Source organism: Homo sapiens, chromosome 13 (assembly GCF_000001405.40).
Source record: "Homo sapiens chromosome 13, GRCh38.p14 Primary Assembly".
Lineage (NCBI taxonomy): Eukaryota > Metazoa > Chordata > Mammalia > Primates > Hominidae > Homo > Homo sapiens.
This window is the reverse complement of record NC_000013.11, coordinates 87,852,694-87,874,277: the sequence shown is the minus strand read 5'-3', so window position 1 is coordinate 87,874,277 and position 21,584 is coordinate 87,852,694. Positions and strand designations below refer to the sequence as shown.

The 21,584-nt window shown below is 34.5% G+C and overlaps 1 long non-coding RNA gene across 1 annotated transcript; it reads right to left on the bottom strand.

Annotated features, from left to right (window-relative positions):
• Positions 1-760: 760 nt before the first annotated feature.
• Positions 761-20,455, bottom strand: LOC105370304 (uncharacterized). Its single transcript, XR_931628.3, has 3 exons — positions 19,893-20,455; positions 19,221-19,274; positions 761-1,622 (listed from the first exon to the last, which is right to left on the bottom strand). It is a non-coding gene; the product is annotated as an uncharacterized LOC105370304 (long non-coding RNA).
• Positions 20,456-21,584: the final 1,129 nt, after the last annotated feature.

Sequence of the window (21,584 nt, the reverse complement as noted above, 5' to 3'; positions counted from 1 at the left end):
ATATGTACAGTCATGCATCAGTTAACAAATGGGAATACATTCTGAGAAACGAATCATTAGGTGATTTTGTTATGCAAACAACATGGAGTATACTTACACAAACCTAAGTGGTATAGCTCTGACTACACACCTAGGCTATATGGTATAGCATGTTGCTTCTAGGCTGAAAACCTGAATTTTAACACAATGGAAAATACGTGTGTATCTAAGCATAGAAATGGTATAGTAAAAATATAATTTTATAGCTTTATAGGAACACCATCCATTGTTGACTGAAACGTCATTATGACTGTATATTCATCCCGAGTATTCAGCTTAAAGCATGGAGAAAGGACAACACAATGATACCCCAAAATTGTTTGTCATGAGATGGGCTTGGACCGGGACTTCATTTATTACCTTGCCTCCATATGACCCCACTCTAAAAGGGTACTATGATGACATTTGGGATCCCTAGTATCAGTGCCAGGTAAGATCCTCTAACCAACATTTTTTTCAAATATCTATTAGTTACATTTCTCCTGATACATAATTACTTTGGTAAATTGCCATAGGTTCCATTGGAAAAGGTTCAGAAATATCTGTTATAAAAACAATGTTGGCACTGCAGGATCGTTCCTCAAGAAGATCCAGTCTCTTTTTCAATGGATGATCTTATTGTCTAGGAATTATCCTAGGTACAGAAACTGGGAAAGGAATCATGATTTCCTCTTATAGCTGCCATCATGATTCTTCTCCTGAACAACTCTATCCATTTGACATCTATAATCCAATCCAATATCTTTATTGGCTGCCTATCTGGCCCCTAGGAATACCATAGTTTATTAGCCACTGCTACAGATCCCTATAAGTAAGGTCCTTGATTGCTGTTTCAGGCTTGCTACACATGCTGGAATTAAACCCAACTTGTTTCTGACAAGGTGAGATGCTACCACTTGTCCTCTGCTTTACCAGAATATTATCATTCACATTTACACCAGTAAGCATGGGTTCATAGCTATATCTGTCAGAATACATTCTGGGCTATGGTGGACTGTCACCACCAACCTTTCTGAAGTTGCAGTACTCACTAGCATATTCCTCGTTCCCTTAGTGAAAGGAGTTTTCTGGGCCTTTTCTCTGGCCTTATATACTAAATCTATTCTATCATGCCTATATCTCTGTGCTTCTGACCTCTGTCTAAATACTCTGCCAAGACTGTTCTAGCAGGTCCACTCATTTACTGTAAGCCATCCAATCTTCAGGATTCAAATTTCCATTTCTGGCATCCTTACCAGGAAATTAAATCCTGAGTCATAAAAGAGTCTCTTTCCATATAAATTCACTCTCCCTAATACGGCCTTTTATTTGCATACCCCTGCTCTAATGTGTTTTTAAGAAGCACTCACTTGAATATCCTACTGGTTACTTCTGGTAAATATTAGCAAAGTTCTGCAGATCCTTTGGTGAATGATCCATTTCCTTTCATTTCTTCATTTGGGCCATGTAGAGTCAATCTTAATTATTGATCCAGAAGCAATGAGAACAGGAGACAGGTAAAACCTGAAGATGGAAAACATCAACATACATGGCATCCTCTTCAGGGCTGGTCTTTGCATCATCTCCAGACTTTCGAGGCTACTCTAGTCAAGAAAAATGAAGGGATTGCTTCTATCAGCCTAAGCATTTACATGAACATGTGGATTCAAGGTTTATTAGTACATTCAACCAAAAGTCCCCATATATTCTCTCAGACTCACACTATTTTCTCATCTTTCTTATCAGGGTGCTGATTTTGCCAATGTTATGGTAAAATATTGAGCCTGATTTCAGCATATGCAGGGGAAGATGGCTCTTTTAAACAATGTGATTCAAGGTCTGGTTTTCATGGCAAAGTCTGAATTAATAATTGGATGACCTAAAACTATCTTTTCTTTTTCAAGACTTCCATGAGAGTAACCAAAAGCTAGCCAACTTCACAGTCTTTCTAATTACCATTGCCCTGTATATTTCAACTCCTAGACATGTTGCACAAGCTAGTACTTCCATTTTAGGTATGTCCAATCTAATTAACCACAGGTGAGATTCTTAGTAATTATGAAGTTACAGTGTACCAAGAGCTATCATATTTATTTTATACAATAATGAAATCTTCATTCCCACCTGGGAGGCAAGCAATCATTCTAGAAACCCATCTTGAAGACTTTCATTCTAGAACCACTTCTGGTAACAAATTTGGACATAAGTATTTCAATCAGGAAATAATCAGAAGTACTATGGAGGGAAATTAATATGGTTTGGCTCTGTGTCCCCACCCAAATCTCACCTTGAATTGTAACTCCCATAATCCCCACATGTTGAGGAGGGGACCTGGTGGGAGGTGACTGGATCATGGGGGCAGATTCCCCCTGCTGTTCTCATGATAGTGAGTGAGTTCTCATGAGAGCTGATGGTTTTTATAAGTATTTGACAGTTCCTCCTTCACAGGCTGTCTCTGTCCACCATGGGAAGAAGGTGCCTGCTTTCCCTTCTGTCACGATTGTAAATTTCCTGAGGCCTCTCCATTCATAAGGAACTGTGAGTTAATTAAACCTCTTCCCTTTATACATTACCCACTCTTGGGTATGTCTTTATAGCAGTGTGAAAACAAACATACAGAAATGTTATATGAAATGGACAGAGAAGGAACCAAAGCCAATATTCCTGTGACTGGCTAACCACAGTGGGAAACTGGTTTCAATTCCTCTAGAGACCCTTTAAAAAGCTGTATAGAATATACCCCAGCATTACTAATGCTCCACTTGTCTTTGGAGGGTCAGGAAAATATGCCCCTGCTTCCAAAGGATGTTCTTACACAGAAAGAACTGTCAATAGATGGCCACCCAGGAAAGATCAAGAATATGGGCAGAATGCCAATAGTATCTCCAGTTTCTGTTCAACAATGCAGTTTCCACAGGAGACTATTGGAGGCCCCAATAGCTGATTCAAATGAAAAATTCGAATAGAAAAATATTTATTCTGTAATTTAAAAAAATGTTGCATAGATTAAAACTTCAAAGTAGTTACTTAACTGAAAAAGCTTATACAGTAAACACAAATTAGATCACTAGGAACCTTAAAGATACAGAGAAATTATGGTGTTTTGTCAAGCAATGTATACTTTGGCAGTATATTTCCTATTAGGTTTGCAAGATATCTAAAACTGGTTGATTCTGATAGTAATTATGAAAGTTTACCCCAATAAATATCAGATTCCCATGCTCCATATATTTAATCAAACTGCCTATGCATTCATTTGTTAAAACTTGACATTGCCACAGATATTTTGTTCTTAATTTAATAATTTAAACATAGAAAAATTAATATTTATTCTGATTGATTACACCATATATTTTATGTTCTGGTTATATAACTGTTAGTTAATATAACAGTACACCAATTAATTATGTTTTGATAAAACAGTTAAAGAGTAAATAATTCAGGAATGCCTATTATGTAAAAACTTTAGTATTAAATACAAAAATAATTCAGACAAGAAACATATATTCTATATTTGTGAATGATCTTGAGGAGCTAAGTTTTTAAAAAGTAACAGAATGTAAATCAAAATTTAAAAATCACATGAACAGTTTTGACATGAAGTAATCCTTTTGCCACTTATTAATATTAAAAACATAAAGTGAATTATACCATTTTGAATAACAATTTAATTACTCAGATATATTTATATTAGAAATTTTAAATAATTTTCTTATAAATTATCTAATTTGAATACTCTAGAATTCTATTCAAAATATAAAATCATATAAAAAATTAGTAAGGTCTTTATTTAATGCTTCCTATATGGTTAGCATAACTCTACTGTAGCTTACTATTGACAACACTTTTAAATACCTTAATTTTTTTGTTCTTATTTTAAATGTTCTAAATCATGTTGTACATTTTACATTTTATATACACATTACATGCAATTTTTCTTACAACATATATTATTGTGACACAGCTAATAATCTGCATTAAACTTCAGAATTAGAACTAGAATTAGAATTAGAACCTATATATAGATATATTTATATTATAGAAAATATATATAGCTATGTATTATACCATATATCTACTATATTATATATCTCTTATAATAACTAGAATTAGAACTAGAACTTTTAGCTCTTTCAAATATTTGGCAATATCCATTTTAAGTTTTAAATATAGACAGTGCCCGAAATTAAATACAGTTATGTACCACATAATGACATTTTGGTCAATATCAGACCATATGTAAGATACTGGTCCCATAGATTTTAACGCTGTATTTTTACCGTACCTTTTCTATGTTTAGATATGCTTAGATACACACATACTTACCACTGTGTTACAGTTGCCTGCATTATTCAGTACAGTTACATGTGGCACAGGCTTAAGAGCAATAGGCTATACCACACAGCCTAAGTGTGTAGTAGGTTATACCATATAGGTTTGTGTAAGTACACTCTATGATGTTCCCACAATGACAAAAATTGCCTAAAGCTGAATTCCTCAGAAAGTATCCCCACAGTTAATCAACATATAAATGTATATATAAACTGGTGTGTGTGTGTGTTTGTGTGTACGTGTATACCTTGTGTTTCCAGGTTTAGGAAAGATTTTGGCCTATTGTGGTTTTTATTCTACAAATTAAAATATTTTACTTAACCTTTTAACATATAATTTTATAATGTGGTACAAATATAATTCAAAATAGTGATTGAGTTGTGAGGAAGATGTATTTACCAGGTTCTCATACTTTGCAAAGAGGAAATATATCATTTATTCATGAAAGATTTCCTCCCTTCATAAAGGCTGGTAGGAAAATTTTTTCACATATGGAGAAATTTTTAACATCCAGATGTATTTGTTTCTCATTAAATTCTGATTAGCTGAATAGTTTATAAGAGACAATGCTTAATTCAACCAACAAATCTTACAGACACTATTTTTGAAAAGTTTAGTTTGTGAACGACTTGTATTTCATGTCTCCAGAAAGCATAGTAATAGGTATTTTAAAATTAACTTTAATATATGTGTATAGTAAATATTTTCCATTTTTATTATTAAAATCATTTTTTTGAAAACTAATTGAAGTCTTTGTTTCTTCTTAGTGAATTACCAAAGCAAAGCATACACATTATAAGCTAGCTATCCACATTTTCTCTATGGTAAATATTCTTCAAGTGTAAAGATTAGCATATCTGTGCCCTCCTCACACCATTAGTCTTATCCCTGCCTTGTAAAGATCTCATTCTATAGGGATTTGACTAATGAAGTTTTGGTGCTGAGACAATAATGGCTTCCTCAGAGCAGAGACTGCCAATTCAACCATATTGTGCTGAACTGTAGAGAACTGCGCCAAATTGTGTGTGTCTACTTCAGAAACAAGCTGTTCATTAAAAAGCAAAAGCAAAAAAAAAAAGGTAAGCAGCAAAACAACATCTTAAATAGCAGCTACGAAGTCCTGGCATGCCTTAAACATTTGATTTCTTTTCCCACAGTATCAAAACAGTGAATGTAACCATTTTTTTTGAGTATGAATAAGATTAATAAGCAAACTATATTATCAATTTTATTATCAAACTACATGTAGAGAAATTAAGATTTTTAAAAGCATCTTGCAATTTACAGTAGTGCCTTCAGGTTCAACTATCTTCATTTATTCAAAAATAAAATATTTATTCCAGTGCAACTTTATGCCAGGCACCATGCTAGTCTCTGTGTATACTCTTACTTTCTCATTGTGTTTAAAAATATGTTTTGACATTTTAGATGAGATTTTTCCCACATCAATTCAAACATAAATCAGAGTACTGTAATGTCTTGTGTTAAGATAATGTGGAATCTTGGAGACATTTTAGCCCTTGCTCTAACCAAGATTATCTCCTTGACCACATTCTAGCCAGGCTCCTCATCCTCTTCTGGACGAGGCCTCCACCTAGGCCAAACTCTCAACAGGAATGATTTTGTCCATCCCATCCCCCAACATTAAAAGACTTAAGCAAGCACTGACATCGCTTCTAACAGCTCAAGGTCATATTCCTAGGATGAACTTAGCCTCTCTTAAGTTCCTAAGAAAGCTCTAGACTGCCAAAGAATTTACCATTTGTTCTGGCCAACACCAGAAGATAGGTTCCTGAGAACCCTTCTTAAAGCCTTTACTAAAAAAGCTTTCAATTTTTGATATGGTTAGGCTTTGTGTCCCCACCCAAATCTCATTCTGAATTGTAATCCCATAATCCCCATAATCCCCACGTGTCAAGGGAGAGACCAAGTGGAGGTAATTGAACCATCGGGGTGGATTCCCCAATGCTGTTCTGGTGATAGCGAAGGATTTCTCATGGGATCTGATGGTTTTTTAAGGGGCTCTTCCCCCTTTGCTCAGCACTTCTCCTCTTGCCGCCTTGTGTAGAAAGTGCCTTGCTTCTCCTTTGCCCTCTGCCATGATTGTAAGTTTCCTGAAGCCTCCCCAGCCATGCTGAACTGTGATTCAGTTAAACCTCTTTCCTTTAAAAATTACCCAGTCTCAGGCAGTTTATTATAGCAGTATAAAAATGGACGAATACAATTGTGAAATCCTTCTTTTTTTATTGCGATGTGTATATATATATATCTCAAAACTAAGGAGTGTCTTTCTCACAGAACTGAAAGCAATTCCTTTGTGTGGGCATACAATCCTAACTTCTGTAATTGCCAGCCAGCAAACACAGCTGATCTAATCAGCATTTACACCGAGCAGCCCTTGGTAATTTTTCACTTCCCTGCCTTTCCAAATCTCTGTTCACTCCCCTCTTTACTCCCACATACTCCCTTTAAAACTCCCAGGCACCTCTGTACAAATTGAACGTGAGTTCAGTTCACACTGAGTATACTCGTAAGAGTATATTCCTGATTAAAATCTGTCCTTACCATTTTACTTAGTGTCCAGCTTGGTTTATCTTCGTCAGCTCCACTATCATGCCCTTTTTTTGGTTACTATTTTGTACCTCTGTTGACAAATTAAGTAACAATGGGTTTAGGGACCATTTCTTATTTTTCTGGACCTCCTTTGCTTCTAACGCAGTTGTCAACGAATGGTATAATTTAAAGGTATAATTTTTGCATAAAAATTAAACCAATCAATTGAAAAATAAATTAAGGCAGAAAGGATTCAACAACCAAATATTCATACAACAGAGTATTGCTAAATTGTTATAAATAATACACATTTATATTCATTTATTTTGATTTAATAGAACACCATGGATCTTATAATATTTTTCTCCATCTTTTATATAATTTTTGCATTATTGTTATGTTTCTTTAATCATTTAATAAATTAATCGGTGTGTGATAAACATTCTACTTCTTCTATCAGAGAGACAGAAGATAAATTATGTCCTTAATTTTAAGGAGTTGGGCAAAGAAATTATACCTTCCTCCTCCAACAATCTCAAGATGAATTCAAGGCGATTTAAAACCAAGGCTTTTAGTATTCATATGCATTATATAGCTTTTATGACTACTGCCATGAAAATTAATTTCTTGAAAACTATTGTGTTATAAATTTGGTTTTTAATTTTCCAATATAAACATAAATGTACATAAAGTCTCAGATCATGATTAGTTTCTTAAACTGGTATTATTTTTAAGGCCATTTTTGTTCTCTCTTACTCTTTTAGCCTTAAAATTTATATATAACCATTATTAATCGTCATCTAAATATTTTAACTTTCATTTTCAAGCTACTTGCTCATTTGCTCACAATTTAATATTTTTCCTAAACAGGTATTCCAAATAATTCAAAAATTAATGAGGTAGGCAAATAATTAGCTGACAATTTTTTCAAATTTATTTTATGAAAACACAATCACGCTTCCTCCTAATAGCTAGCATTAATTCATTTTATCTGTATTGATAGCGAGTTGTTTCAAATATTCTTTTTTCATATTTAAACCAGAAACAATAAAGACCGTCTCCTATTCCTTCCATTGCATTTTTAGTATTCTGTTGAATGACTTTTTGATTCTTTTTGTTTGTTTTGAGATGGAGTCTAACTCTGTCGCCCAGGCTGGAGTGCAATGGTGCCATCTCAGCTCACTGCAACCTCCGCCTCCAGGGTTCAAGCAATTCTCATGCCTCAGCCACCCAGGTAGTTGGGACTATAGTTGCCCACCACCACACTTGGCTAATTTTTGTATTTTTATTAGAGAGGAGGTTTCACCATGTTGGCCAGGCTGCTCTCGAACTCCTGAACTCAAATGATCCACCCTCCTCGGCCCCCCAAAGTTCTGGGATTACAGGAGTGAGTCACCGTGCCCTGTTGACTATTTGATTCTTGCATTTTTGTTGAGATCATCTATTCATGTGCCTTTACCATCATCTTTTTTTTTGTTAGAACTTTGTAGAGAATATTGATGACAACCACTTCTGTTTCAAATTATTTTCCAGATCGTTCTTTATGATCTATTAAATCACATAAATGTACAATTTTTTTTTCTATAACATGCTCAAATGTATCAGTCATAGACCTTAGATTTTTTTGTGTGGTCTCTTTGTCTAGAATAGTCTGTGAAGGCAGAAAATATTCTTTATATTTTCTTCAAATTGCACTATATTTGTTTTAGAATGCTTAATCCATTTGGAACTTATTAAACTGTGAGGTGAGAATCTATTTTTTAAAATTATTATCTTTATGCTTTTCTTTAAGTAATCCTTTCCTTTTATATTCCTATTATTTAGTTAGTTTTACTTTTGTGCTTCCTAAATTGAAGATTTAATTAATTCATTTTCAGTTGTTGAGTTCTGGATTATTATTCAACCTGCCACCAGACCATACATATACTATAATTCTGGCTTAAATTCTTTTTGAAAATAGAAATAATACTTGAGATTGTGTGTGTTCAACACAAGCTTAACTTCCAAGGAATTTCATATCATCTATCATTATTTAACTTATGTTAGTTAATGATAGTTAATAACTATCATTAGTTAACTTTTACTATTAACTAATAGTAAAAATGTTATTTTAAATCACTAAAATGATTGCTATCATTTTAATGCATTTTAATGCATATGGCAAGAAAAAAAATCTGCACAATTTCTACTTTAGTAATTTATTGATATTTATTTTGTGGTCTCAGTCATGAAAAATTGTACAAACACATATTGAACCAAAAATTAGTGTATTTTCTCTTTTAAAATGTAGTTAGTAAACATGTTTCAATATCCTTATTTGGCTCTTAGTCTCCTTTTCCAAAGAACTTCTTTCAGCTGTACCCCTTAAAAACATCAAATATTTAAATTATAATAATAATTGTTGTTAACTAGAGTTTAATCATTATATACTATTTTGAAATAAATTTAAAATTTATTATTTTAATTTGTTTGTAATAACTGGTTTCAATGCTCAATTAAATTTATTTTATACTGTAGCCTCTTGATTCTTCCGAATGTAACATCTATTTCTCCCCCACTCAGGAAGAGTATGTAGCTAGTGTTTTAAAAATATCAAGACACATTTTATGTATGTCAAGATATATTTCTGCCGCTTTTAAATACAGAGGCACAATTTTACTAGCTAATTATGAGTCACATTTGCTTACTGTCCAAATTATTTTCTCTTCAGGCATACAATGTTACAGAGAAATTTGAGACCATCCTGATTTTTTTCTTTTGGACTATCAATGTTCTTATTTTTTTTTTCCTGTTTAACTAAAATGGGTATATATGACACTGGTATCTTTGAAAATTAATTTTCCTGGTTTTTGCCATACTCTCATATTATTACTAGCTTTTTCATAGGCTGATTGCTTCTATTTCAGTTGTTATTGTATCTTTCTTAAATCTCAACTACCAAAAGCAACATTATATGTATTTCATCAATATGTATTGCTTTTTGTCTTTTTATAAACCTTTGCCAATATCCTCTGCAACAGAGAAAAAAATCATCAAATCTCTCCTACAAATCACTTGCTTGACTTTCTGCAGGGACAACTCTGCTTTTTGATGGCTATAATAAATATCAATAATGTGATTTTATGTATATTGACTTTATAGCAGTTTTCCAGATCTTTCCCAATTCTTTTTACTTGGCTCCTTATAAAATATCCTATTATTTTTATTTATTATCTTGTGGTTTTATGTTGTTTTATAGTGTTTTTTAATATTTATTTTAAAGCAGCCGGGCGTGGTGGTTCAACACTTGTAATCCCAGCACTTTGGGAGGTGGAGCTGGGCAGATCACGAGGTCAGGAGTTTGAGACCAGCCTGGCCAATATGGTGAAACCCCATCCCTACTAAAAATACAAAAATTAGCCCAATGTGGTGGCACGCACTTTTAGTCCTTGCTACTCGAAAGGCTGAGACAGAAGAATCGCTTGAACCAGGAGGCGGAGGTTGCGGTGAGCCAAGATTATGCCACTGCACTTCAGCCTGGGTGAAAGAGCGAGATTCCTTCTAAAAATATATATACACAGTATATATATATAATATATATTATATATTATATATTTTTTATAATATATATTTTTATATATTATATATATTTTATATATATTATATATGTATTTTATATATAATATATATTTATTTTATATATATTAAAGCAAAAGCAAATGCTTTCAATTTTTTTCTCTATCATCCATCTTCAATATTTCTTCTCCTTTGCTAAGTTTACACAAATTTTAACTGACTCTATGTTAGAATTGTGTGTATTTGTATTCTTGTGTCATTGGTTTTGGGGGTTATTTGCATTGTTTTTGATTTTACTGTTTTTTCTTGCTACTCAATTTAGACATGGAATGGACTCCAGATCTAAGACATAAACTATTTAATAATAATCTCTTTTTCTTGTTATCTGCCTGTGTGCTGTAGCAAAGTTTTTCCTGTATCTTACACAGAGAAGATTTGTAATTTATGTAATGATTTTAATAATCCAAAGAGTGAGTATAGGTGTTAAAATCCATGAGTCTCAACAGGGGAATATTATTTGCCACACTGCAACTTTTAAATTTCTTCTTTTGTTTAAACCAACAAGCAAAGAGCATAGCATAGTGGAGAGTTCACATTGCCTGGATGTGAAGCCAAACTCCACCATCTAGTAGTGTAGGGCCTGGAGAAAGTTTCCTCTTTTCCCTCTGCTTTACATTTCCTAATATACTAAATGGGGATAAACATACTTAGTTACTATATCATTGCACTGTGGTGAGATTTGAGTTAATATACATATGCAAAGTGCTTTGAATAGACTCTGCTTAGAAAAAGTGCTCTTATTTGCCACTATTATAATTATTTCCATTATTAGCAATATTTTTAGGAAGAAGTAAGCATTTTCCTTTATCTGACGTTTTGTATCATTTCCCTTAATTGGCAAGTTCAAGATCACTCTTATGTCCGGTTCCTTTTCCAGGTTAAGCTCTTATCACACCACAAGGACTCTGCTGGTTATAGGGGCGTATCACTTCAGGGACTGTTGAGTGCCTTTGCCAAATACTTCTGATTTTAGAAACAACCATTAGTGAATTCAAATGAAGTTTTTCCCCTCTTCTCCACTACCAGTGTTCACTTTCTGACCTAATCACTCCAAACTAATTTATTCCGGTGATGTTCTTCAGGGTTCTAGAACATGTATTTGTTAGCAATGCTATATTTTTTTCCCTGAGAAGTCACACATCAGAGCTTTCAATTCATTAATGCAGGATATAGGAAGAATTCCTCAGTTTTTGACATATAGACAAATGGCACTTTTATATAGCTTAGCACAATCCTAGAGTTTTCAGTGTTTTTTTGTTTTCTGTTCATATTATACATAATGCTGTGGATCTATGGATATGGGAGAGGGAGCAATCAGTGGAGAAGTCAGTTAGATACTGTGTTCATCACGTGAACTTTCTGCCCACAAGTCTGAACAAACGTAATTACGTATTCCTTTATATATCTAAATAGAGTATCAGGAATGTCCTGTCATATTGTTTTCCAATGGTATATTATGTTCTCAGTAATGTAATGTTACTTATCCTACTTATCGATCCATTTGGCAAATGTTTACTATATATCTAATCTATGCAGTGAATGAAAAGTCGCTAGATTAATGGAGTTCTCTCCAGTAGAGAAACTTTCATATACTGAGGGGAGGCAACCAATATAAGCAAATATTCACATGCAAGGCAAGCACAGATTGAAATAGCCCTTAAAGGAAATAAAAATAAATGCTCTAATAGAGAGTAAAAGCGGATTCAACTAGCATGGTCAAGAAGCTCTCTGTAGAGATAATATTTCAGCCTATACTTCAGGAATGATAAGAAGTTGGTATTGTTTAGAACTGGGGAATCTGAGTTGGAGGGAGTAAACTCATTTGAGGAGGTGTAGACTACAGTATAGAGTTTGAATTGCTCAGCATCTTAGCTATGGTGTGGAAGAATTTTAAGCAAAAATGCTTACAGTTCTGGTTTGAATTTTGAACACATCACTCCGCTTGCAGCTAGTGTATCTATAAAGTATATTTATTATGTACTGAGGAAGGGAATAGAAGCAGTTAGACCTCTTGGGAGACTTACTGATGAAAAAAACACTGGACAGGTTACAGGTTTAAAATCAGTTCTTATATAACTAAATGTATCTGACAACATGTAGATACTTAGCTTCCTACTGGTACATCAAGCAAGCATAGCCCACATAAACAACAATTTAAATACTTATTTTTGTCAGAAATTGATTAATATTGTTTATATTACTTTCTTTTTCTTGTTTTTTTTCCCCTAATTTGTTTTCTCTTTATTTCCTTTTAATATGCAGGCATAATCTCGGAAAGACAAACAAGCAGAACCTCATTTTTCTTTTAAGCAAAATATACTAATTATGCTTACAATAATAGAAATCAATGGATGTAAAAAATAGTCATTAGTGCACATCAAATGTCCTTTTAACCATTGTTAAGCTTTTCCAATTTTATGTAAAAATATTATTAAATAGTACCTTATAGTACTTTATAAATGTACACAAATTACCCAAAGAAAATCAATACAACTTGATGTGCCACCTGTGTTTACAGAATCTGCTAATTTCTAATATTTTGAGAAACACTAATTGTTAAAAATAAGAAAACTCTTCTTACTGTATTTTTCATATTTATACCACGAAAGTGCTCTCCTTTTCCATTTTTTATTTTTTAAAGAGAAGCCTGAAATTCTGGTGTATATAATAAACAGTGATCGTTAAATCAGTCCTTATATCTTTATTTCTGAAAGTAAATTTCACGTCATAGAGCATTTTTTATGCCTTTGCTTGAATTTTTTCTAGAGGAATTACGTCTACATTTTCAAATTTTGCTTTTGCATTCTCATACTGCATTCTCCAGGGTAATGTTTTTAAAGCATGAATCTGATAATATTCCTCCCTTGCTTAAATCCTGCCATAATTTGCCATTGCAATTAAAATAAATTGTAAATCCCATAATAATTTTCACTTCCCCAACCTCATTTATCATTATGCTTCTCAATTAACTATGATCCAGGGATATTAGTTTGCTTCTTGCCTGTTTCTTGAACACTTTCAACCCTGATCCAGGTTCTTTGTTGACTGAATTCTTTCACTCAGACTAAAAGTGTAAAAATTCTACATTGACAGCTATCAGGAGGTTGGCCCCTCAAGAAAGATAACTTAGCTTTAAGTGTCAGCCTTTGGTGTTACATTGCTCATCTAATGCCAATAGCCCTATTTACTAGCCTTTTCCTTATTCTACAGATATGCTCATTTATAACTTTATTTGAATGACATCTTCTCAGAGGGACTTTCCCTGGCCACCCAAATAAAAAGGCACCACACTTCATGTTCTACCTACCCTAGTGCCTTGTTTTGTTTCCTTCATGTACTTATTAATATCTACATTTATATTTTTCTATTTACATTAAGATATACTTATTTCTTGTCCTACAGCAGGGAAAACTCAGTAAGCATAGAGCGTTGGTCAGCCTGATGCATTACCATATCCACAACATCAAGGATGGGGCTCAGAGAGACTTAGGTGCTTAATAAATATTTGTAGAAAGTTGAATGGAGGAAGGGAAAAAAATTCTATTTATAATCACACTGTGAAATTGGAATTGGTAATTTTTGAAAAAATATACATCTAGATCAGAAGTGTGCAAACTTTTACCTGTGGGCTAGTCATGCCTACAGCCCCATTTTGAACAATTTTTTTTTTTTTTTTTTTTTTTGAGATGGAGTGTTGCTGTGTCACCCAGGCTGGAGTGCAGTGGCATGATCTCAGCTCACTGCAACCTCCACCTCCCAGGTTCAAGCAATTTTCCTGCCTCAGCCTCCTGAGTAGCTGGGATTACAGGTTCATGCTACCACACCCGGCTAATTTTTGTATTTTTAGTAGAGGTAGTGTTTCACCATGTTGGCTAGGCTGGTCTTGAACTCCTGACCTCAAGTGATCCACTTGTCTCGGCCTCCCAAAGTGCTGGGATTACAGGTGTGAGCCACCTTACCCAATGGATTTTGTACATTCTAGAGAGCAAAGAATAATTTTTACAATTTCAAAGGTTCAAAAATAAACAATGAAGAATACAGGGGAGACAGTATGTAACTAAAAACGCTTAGAATATTTACTGTCTGGCCCATACAGAATGAGTCTGTTGACACTTTTCTTGATTAAGTCCTCATTGAACCAAAGTGTTATCTGAATAGATTTGGATTACGTTCTGCTTCAATTTCCTCCTAAGAAAAAACGGAAATTGGATTGAAAAACCATCTTAATTTCCTTCCGTTTTGACTATTGAAAGTTCTTCAGAATGGAAAAAAAATAAAATAAATGTAGTTAATCACACCTACTTTCCTCATTTTTCTAGAGGATGGGGTCAGGAATGAGAAAGTGTAAGTGTAAATAGATATGAGAATTTATAAAGGGCAATACACAAAGCAAGGCCTTTCTCCAAAACAGCTGAAGAAATACGATCACTGTTTTGCACTTCAGTGAAAGAAATACATCATCAAAAGACTACTAAAAGAAAATGAAAATCTCACTTCCTGAATCTTTGACATATACACCCAAGTTGTCAACATATAAATAATGTAATTATGAAAAAAGCCAGTGATCAATTATAATAACATTTTCATGAAGGTAAAAATCATGGATCTAGTGCCAGTCTACCTGACTTCCAATCCTGGCAGCACCAGTTGCTAGATATTTGTCTCTGAGCATGCTTATTGTCTCTGTATCTCCACTTTATTCACCTTTGAATTACTAATAATAGAGTTTCTACCATAGAGAAATGTCAGAGGGTGAAATGAGTTAATATGTTTAAACTGCTTAGACAATGATTGGCACAGCATATGTACTATGATATATCGGTTAAATAAAAGAATTTCAGTGCAGCTTTATCCCATTTTTTTCATATTCATTAGGTAATAAATCGCCTGGTAAATAAAACAGTGCTACAGTCAGATTTTCTCATATTTCTGTGACGTACATGCTTAATGGAGGTTGCATAAGAATTAACCTTATATTGAATTCCACAACTCATTCATTGTGTGAGATGATGTATTTGTTTTCAAATTATTTTATCATTGTTAGAAAGAAAAGCTCTGCCTTTTCATTCCTATAAATATCAAAGTGAAAATTTAATTTTACTTTCAAAATGATTTTATTTTAATACATGAAAATAAAAGAGAATAAGCAGGCACCTATTGGTCACAATTGCTCTTTAAGCTACAGGAAGCATTTAAGCTACAGGAAGCATTTAAGCTTCCTGGAAGCCATTTACCTACATTTAACCATTTAAGCTACAGGAAGCATGACAAAGAACAGATCCATAAAATATGCACAAGGGAGAACATTTCTAATATTATAAATAATAATATGCTCCAAATGCTGTTTCTTCTTCTTCTTTGTTGTTGTGATTGCTATGTTCTTAAATCTTTATCTGGCTTTAAACAATAAAATTGTAAAATGAAGCAACAGAACAGTCTATCTAGACGCACTCCCTTTTCATTCCTATTCCTAAACCTATTAGCCTAACTCTGCAGTCTGATGATGCCAAATTTAATCTCTAAACTGGAGTCCCCATTTTTACCTGTATGTCCAACTTTCTTTATGACCTCTCAAATTTAACAACTCCAGAACCAAATTCTTAAATTTCTCCCTGAACTCTTTTTTTAGTTTTGCACATAATACTCCCTAGTGGAACATTCTTTCAGTTTCTTAAAACGAACACTCTAAATGCCATTGTAGAGAAGCCCCAGAACTCTGTTATTGAGAATTAGACAGTGGAACCTGACTGCCTGGATTGGAATCCATGAGCTGTCAAGTATAAGCATCTGACTGGGGCAAGATACCGTCCCTCTACATATCTTAATTTCGTCATCTGTAAAATGAGAAAAATAATGAGTTCTACCATTATTTTCTAATACTATATTTTCTTTATAAAATTAAATTAGATAATACAAGTAAAACAAAACAGTGATAGGTTCATCACTGTTTGTTAAATTTATATCTCTTGATTCATTTCCTTCCCTCATAGCCCACTTCATACCCATAACCAAATCCTGTTGGAAGTACCTTCAAGATACCACAGAATCTCACAATTTTTATAACATCCTGTGCCATTTTATTGTCAAGCAATAGCCTTTTACCCAGGCTTTTGCTTCCACCCTTAATCTGATTAGTCTCCTCTGCTCAAAACTTTCCAATGGTTTCCATATTTATTTTGAATAAAATCTGCAGTCATTATAATGCTAACGGAAAACTACAGAGCTAGGTTCCAATTGCCCCTGTGATCATATCTTCTACTGTACCCTCCTCTAGCTCATTCAGCTTCAGATGCATGGACCTCCTCCTGGCACACTGATGCCTCAAGGCTCTTTCCCTTGCCCTTTCCTTTACCTTTATTTACAAGACCCATTGTGTGTCCATCTCCTTAAGTGATTATTCAAAAGCCTCTTCTCAACGAGGTCTCCATGACTCCTTTTAAAAATTACACCACACACAGACAGACACACACACACACACCCTATGCACCTTACTTGCCTTGTTCTTCTCAGTGACATTCATTACTATCTGATACACTACATATTTCAATTATATATTTGATAGTGTCCATATAATCCAATTAGAATATAAGCATCATGAAGGCAGTGAGTTTTGGTTGGCGTTTTTGTTATTGTTGGATTCATTTCCTGCTCTATTTACAATGCCTTGCAAAAATTAGGTACTTAAAATATATATGACAAATAAATGAATGAATTAATAGTCAACAGGCAACCTGTAGGTTTATTCAATCATAATATATGTATTTACTACATATACTTTACTCTCTCTCTCTCTCTATATATATATGTATATAATTACTACCCAGTAGGCCCTAGGACTTGCTTTCACATACCTCACAATGTACCCCTGAGAGAAAATAGTAAAACATGCTAACATATTTCCACAAATGTCAGATAGTAGATTTTAGTATTTGATCCATATTAGTTGTGCTAAAGCACATAGAAAATAAATGAAAAAAATATTTTATATTTTGCACACACACATTTACATATATTTGTGTATGTGGACCTCTTTCAGAGATGCATATACATTTTTATATGATAACAAATGATCTTTGGCTTCCAAGTTTCTTTCTCCTCTCTTTATTGTTTTGTTGTTTTTTTCTTGTTTTATCCATTGACACCACTGACATTTCTCCTACTGCCACCCCCCTACCCCGCCACCACATAACCCTCTGCAACAAGTTAAGTGAATATTTATTGCTGTTATAAGAAGACTCAGGACAAAAGAAAGTCAAAAATTTGCTCCTTTAGAGGTTACAGGTGGTGAAAAGCAGGTCTATTTCACTTTTATGTGTTGTTCTATGAGAATAGATAGAAATTATGAGTGATCAGAGATTGCTATAAGAAGATGGAAGTACATTGTTAGAAACTAATTGTTACCCAGGGGTTCCAGGTACCAAAACCTAAAATGCTCAGAGATTATATATTTCAGATTCATTGGGGCAATATAAGCAGCATCTGTCTCTCTGTTACACAATGAAATTTCAACTTTGTTAAATAACTGGAGTTCATATCATTCTCAGGAGATGTCTGAGCTATTCATCAAGGAAGCTGAAATCATCAGAATAAAAAGAACAATTATGATAAGGTGAAACAGAAAAAGAAATTCAGACAGGAAAAAAATCAAATTAAAATGGTTGAACATAAAAATATAATATCAGGAAATTCACATCCCTAAATCAGGAAGATTTTACGTAGATGTAGCCAAGCTCTTCAATGGCACAACAGTGGGCCATGAAATCTGACAGAAGACAGGTACCAAGTTCAGAGGCATGATTCTAAAGCACATTCCTTATATTTTCCTATGTCTTGAGGAAACATTAAGGTGGTTACTGAATGACCTATGTAGTGATTCTTAAGTCATAGAAATGTACATTGCTATTGTCACTAGAAATAAGATTTTAAAATGCAGGAACTATGAAATCTCTGATTATTAAATAATATAATAAATGTTAATAAAATAAAATGATAAATATATTACTTAATAATATAAAAATAATAATTTATATTATTATATAATATAAAAATGACTTTTTAACACCGTTTGTCTAAGCACACACACTATAAAAATATTAAGAAAAAATATTTTACCATTATTAAAAGTAATGCTCCCTTATTTTCTTTGTTCTTGCCCATATACATACACTTATATAGTTAACATACACGTGTCTGGGTGCACCCATTGATACATACATATACAGTGGTGTGTATAATGTGACAGATAATATGTATTATCTATAGAGAATACATACATCCACTATCATATCAAAATTATTTAAGGAGTAAAAGTCCGCATGGCTTTATTTTAGGACAATGTTCCTCTTAGTTGACAAGTTAGGGAGAAAAAGGCATAGTAGAATTCCAACTTTTATTTTCACCTCCAACCAGGGAACAAGAACCGATATTTACTGAGTACCTACTATCTATCAAGCCTGTAGCTATTTTACCTGATTTTATCAATCAGGGTCCAATCAAGAAAGCAAAAGAAACATCAGATATTTTAAGAGAACTATTAATGTAAAAAGGTTAAACTAGTGTTGGAGAACTGGAAAAGAAAAATGAACACAGGTTAACACAGTCATAGCAAGTTTAAGAACCAAATATCACCCCTAAAGCTGGAATAATTTAAGATTATTAGAAACTAGAAACTGGGAGGTATCCCATGGATCTGTGGCTCTTACCTCTGGGGGGATGGCGATGGCATTGTCCAGCTGGTGCCGAGAATACGAAAAAAGCTAGAATCGGAATTAGTAAAAAGTTGAAGGGATATTGCAGAGGCAATGTTGACAAGCATAACAAACAAACAGGGCATGTCTTTTCTTTTTCATCTTTCCATCTCTTTCTATGTCTCCCTGTCGGTAGAACATCGCAAGGAACCAGCTGTCAAATGAGAAACTGAAGTTTCCATAGTCCAAATACCAGAAACACAAAACGGAGTTTAGAAAGCCAAGTTCAGGCCAGGCGCGGTGGCTCATGCCAATAATCCAAGCACTTTGGGGGACCGAGGCGGATCACTTGGTGTCAGGAGTTTGAAACCAGCCTTGCCAACCTGGTGAAACCCTATCTCTACTAAAAATATAAAAATTAGCCGGGCATGATGGCGGACGCCTGTAGTCCCAGCTTCTCGGGAAGCTGAGGCAGGAGAATCACGTGAACCCGGGAGGCGGAGCTTGCAGTGAGCTGAGATCGCGCCACTGCACTCCAGCGTGGGTGATAGAGCAAGACTCCATCTCAAAAAAAATAAAAAAAAATAAAAAAGCAAGCCAAGTTAAGAGTGAAAGTCAATAGCTTAATAACTGGCATACTGATTAAGTATGCAATTTTAACTTGCAGGTGTTTGAAGATTCACTTACGTTGTTACTTCTCCAGTAATGGCTACTAGCAATGTTCCATCAATCCTCCCAGCTTTACCAGCTTTACCACTGGGTAGCTGAGTTCCTTAATGGCATCTCAGTTTAGTTCTATACATTTCAGGTAGTTAAGATTATTGAAACAGATACTTTTAGATCTTACAAAATTGTCATTTTGTTTCATATTTCAAATTTTCATTTTTTTCAAAGCTTTCCTTTCTCAGCATCAATTCCCCACAACCCACCAGTGCAAACTAAACAGAGGGAGAGCAGCCTGGAGCATGATGGGAGTCAAAATCTGCTCCTTCTCATGCCCTCCTTTCTCCCTGTGGTTCCCATTCAGATTGTGGAAGGGAAGCTCTTGAGCGAAAACAAACATCATCTCCTTCTTTGGCTCTCTGTAATAAATCTGAGGTCTGCTCCTTGTTGACTCATAATGACTCTTCTATGGCTTCATTCTGTATGGCTTCAGTGAACTGTTGGTGGACTGATGATCATAAGAGAGCCCTGATAATAAAAGCTGAATCCTTACTCTTCTAACCAGGTATTACTGGCTCATCGACAGTTTAAACAAATGTCTGACCACTCCAGTGGGAAGTGCCACGTCAAATTAAGTGGCAAATTCAGAGACACCTGTGTTTTAGCTCTCTGCTTGTTTTGTCACCCATAAACCTATAGTTACTCCCCTTTATGACCTACAACCCTGAATCCTGTGGAGGAGAGATGGATCGATTATTTGTGACTTTTCGTGATTGGGGTTTGGTGGTAGGTGCTCTTGCTCTCCTTTCTCCTGGCCACCTGCCTGCCAAGTCTTCTCCACATTTTTGTTCATATCTGGAAGCTTATTTGGTAAATAAGCAAACATTCAACCAGGGAGTAAAGATCTGACTCCTTGTGCAGTCTGTTACAGACTTCATGATATCTTCTCTTGATATTTTGACCCCTTATAGTAGGAAATGTGAGGGAATTGCTTCTTTTTATCAACTGTGCCCCACCCAAAGGCTGTCCCTAGCCCTTTATGATTTTTTTAAAATTTCTCCTAATGCTATCCCTCCTCTAGACCCCCCCACCCCCTGACAGGCCCCAATGTGTGATGTTCCCCTCCCTGTGTCCACCATGTGTTCTCATTGTTCAACTCTCACTTATGAGTGAGAACCTGTGGTGTTTGCTTTCTGTTCCTGTGTTAGTTTGCTGAGAATGATGGTTTCCAGCTTCATCCATGTCCCTGCAAAGGACATGAATTCATCCTTTTTTATGGCTGCATAGTATTCCATGGTGTATATGTGCCACATTTTCTTTATCCAGTCTATCATTGATGAGCATTTGGGTTGGCTCCATGTCTTTGCTATTGTGAATAGTGCTGAAATAAATATACATGCACATAAGTCTTTATAGTAGAATGATTTATAATCCTTTGGGTATATACCTAGTAATGGGATTGCTGGGTCAAATGGTATTTCTGGTTCTAGATCCTTGAGGAATCGCCACATTGTCTTCCACAATGGTTGAACTAATTTACACTCCCACCCACAGTGTAAAAACGTTCCTATTTCTCCACATCTTCTCCAGTATCTGTTTTTTCCTGACTTTTTAATGATCGCCATCCTTTGTACACTTGTTTTCATTCAGGTGATGACAGAGGTGGTGGCAGGGTTGTTTCTGTTGAGGTGATGCTCCAAGATTATCTTTGGGACT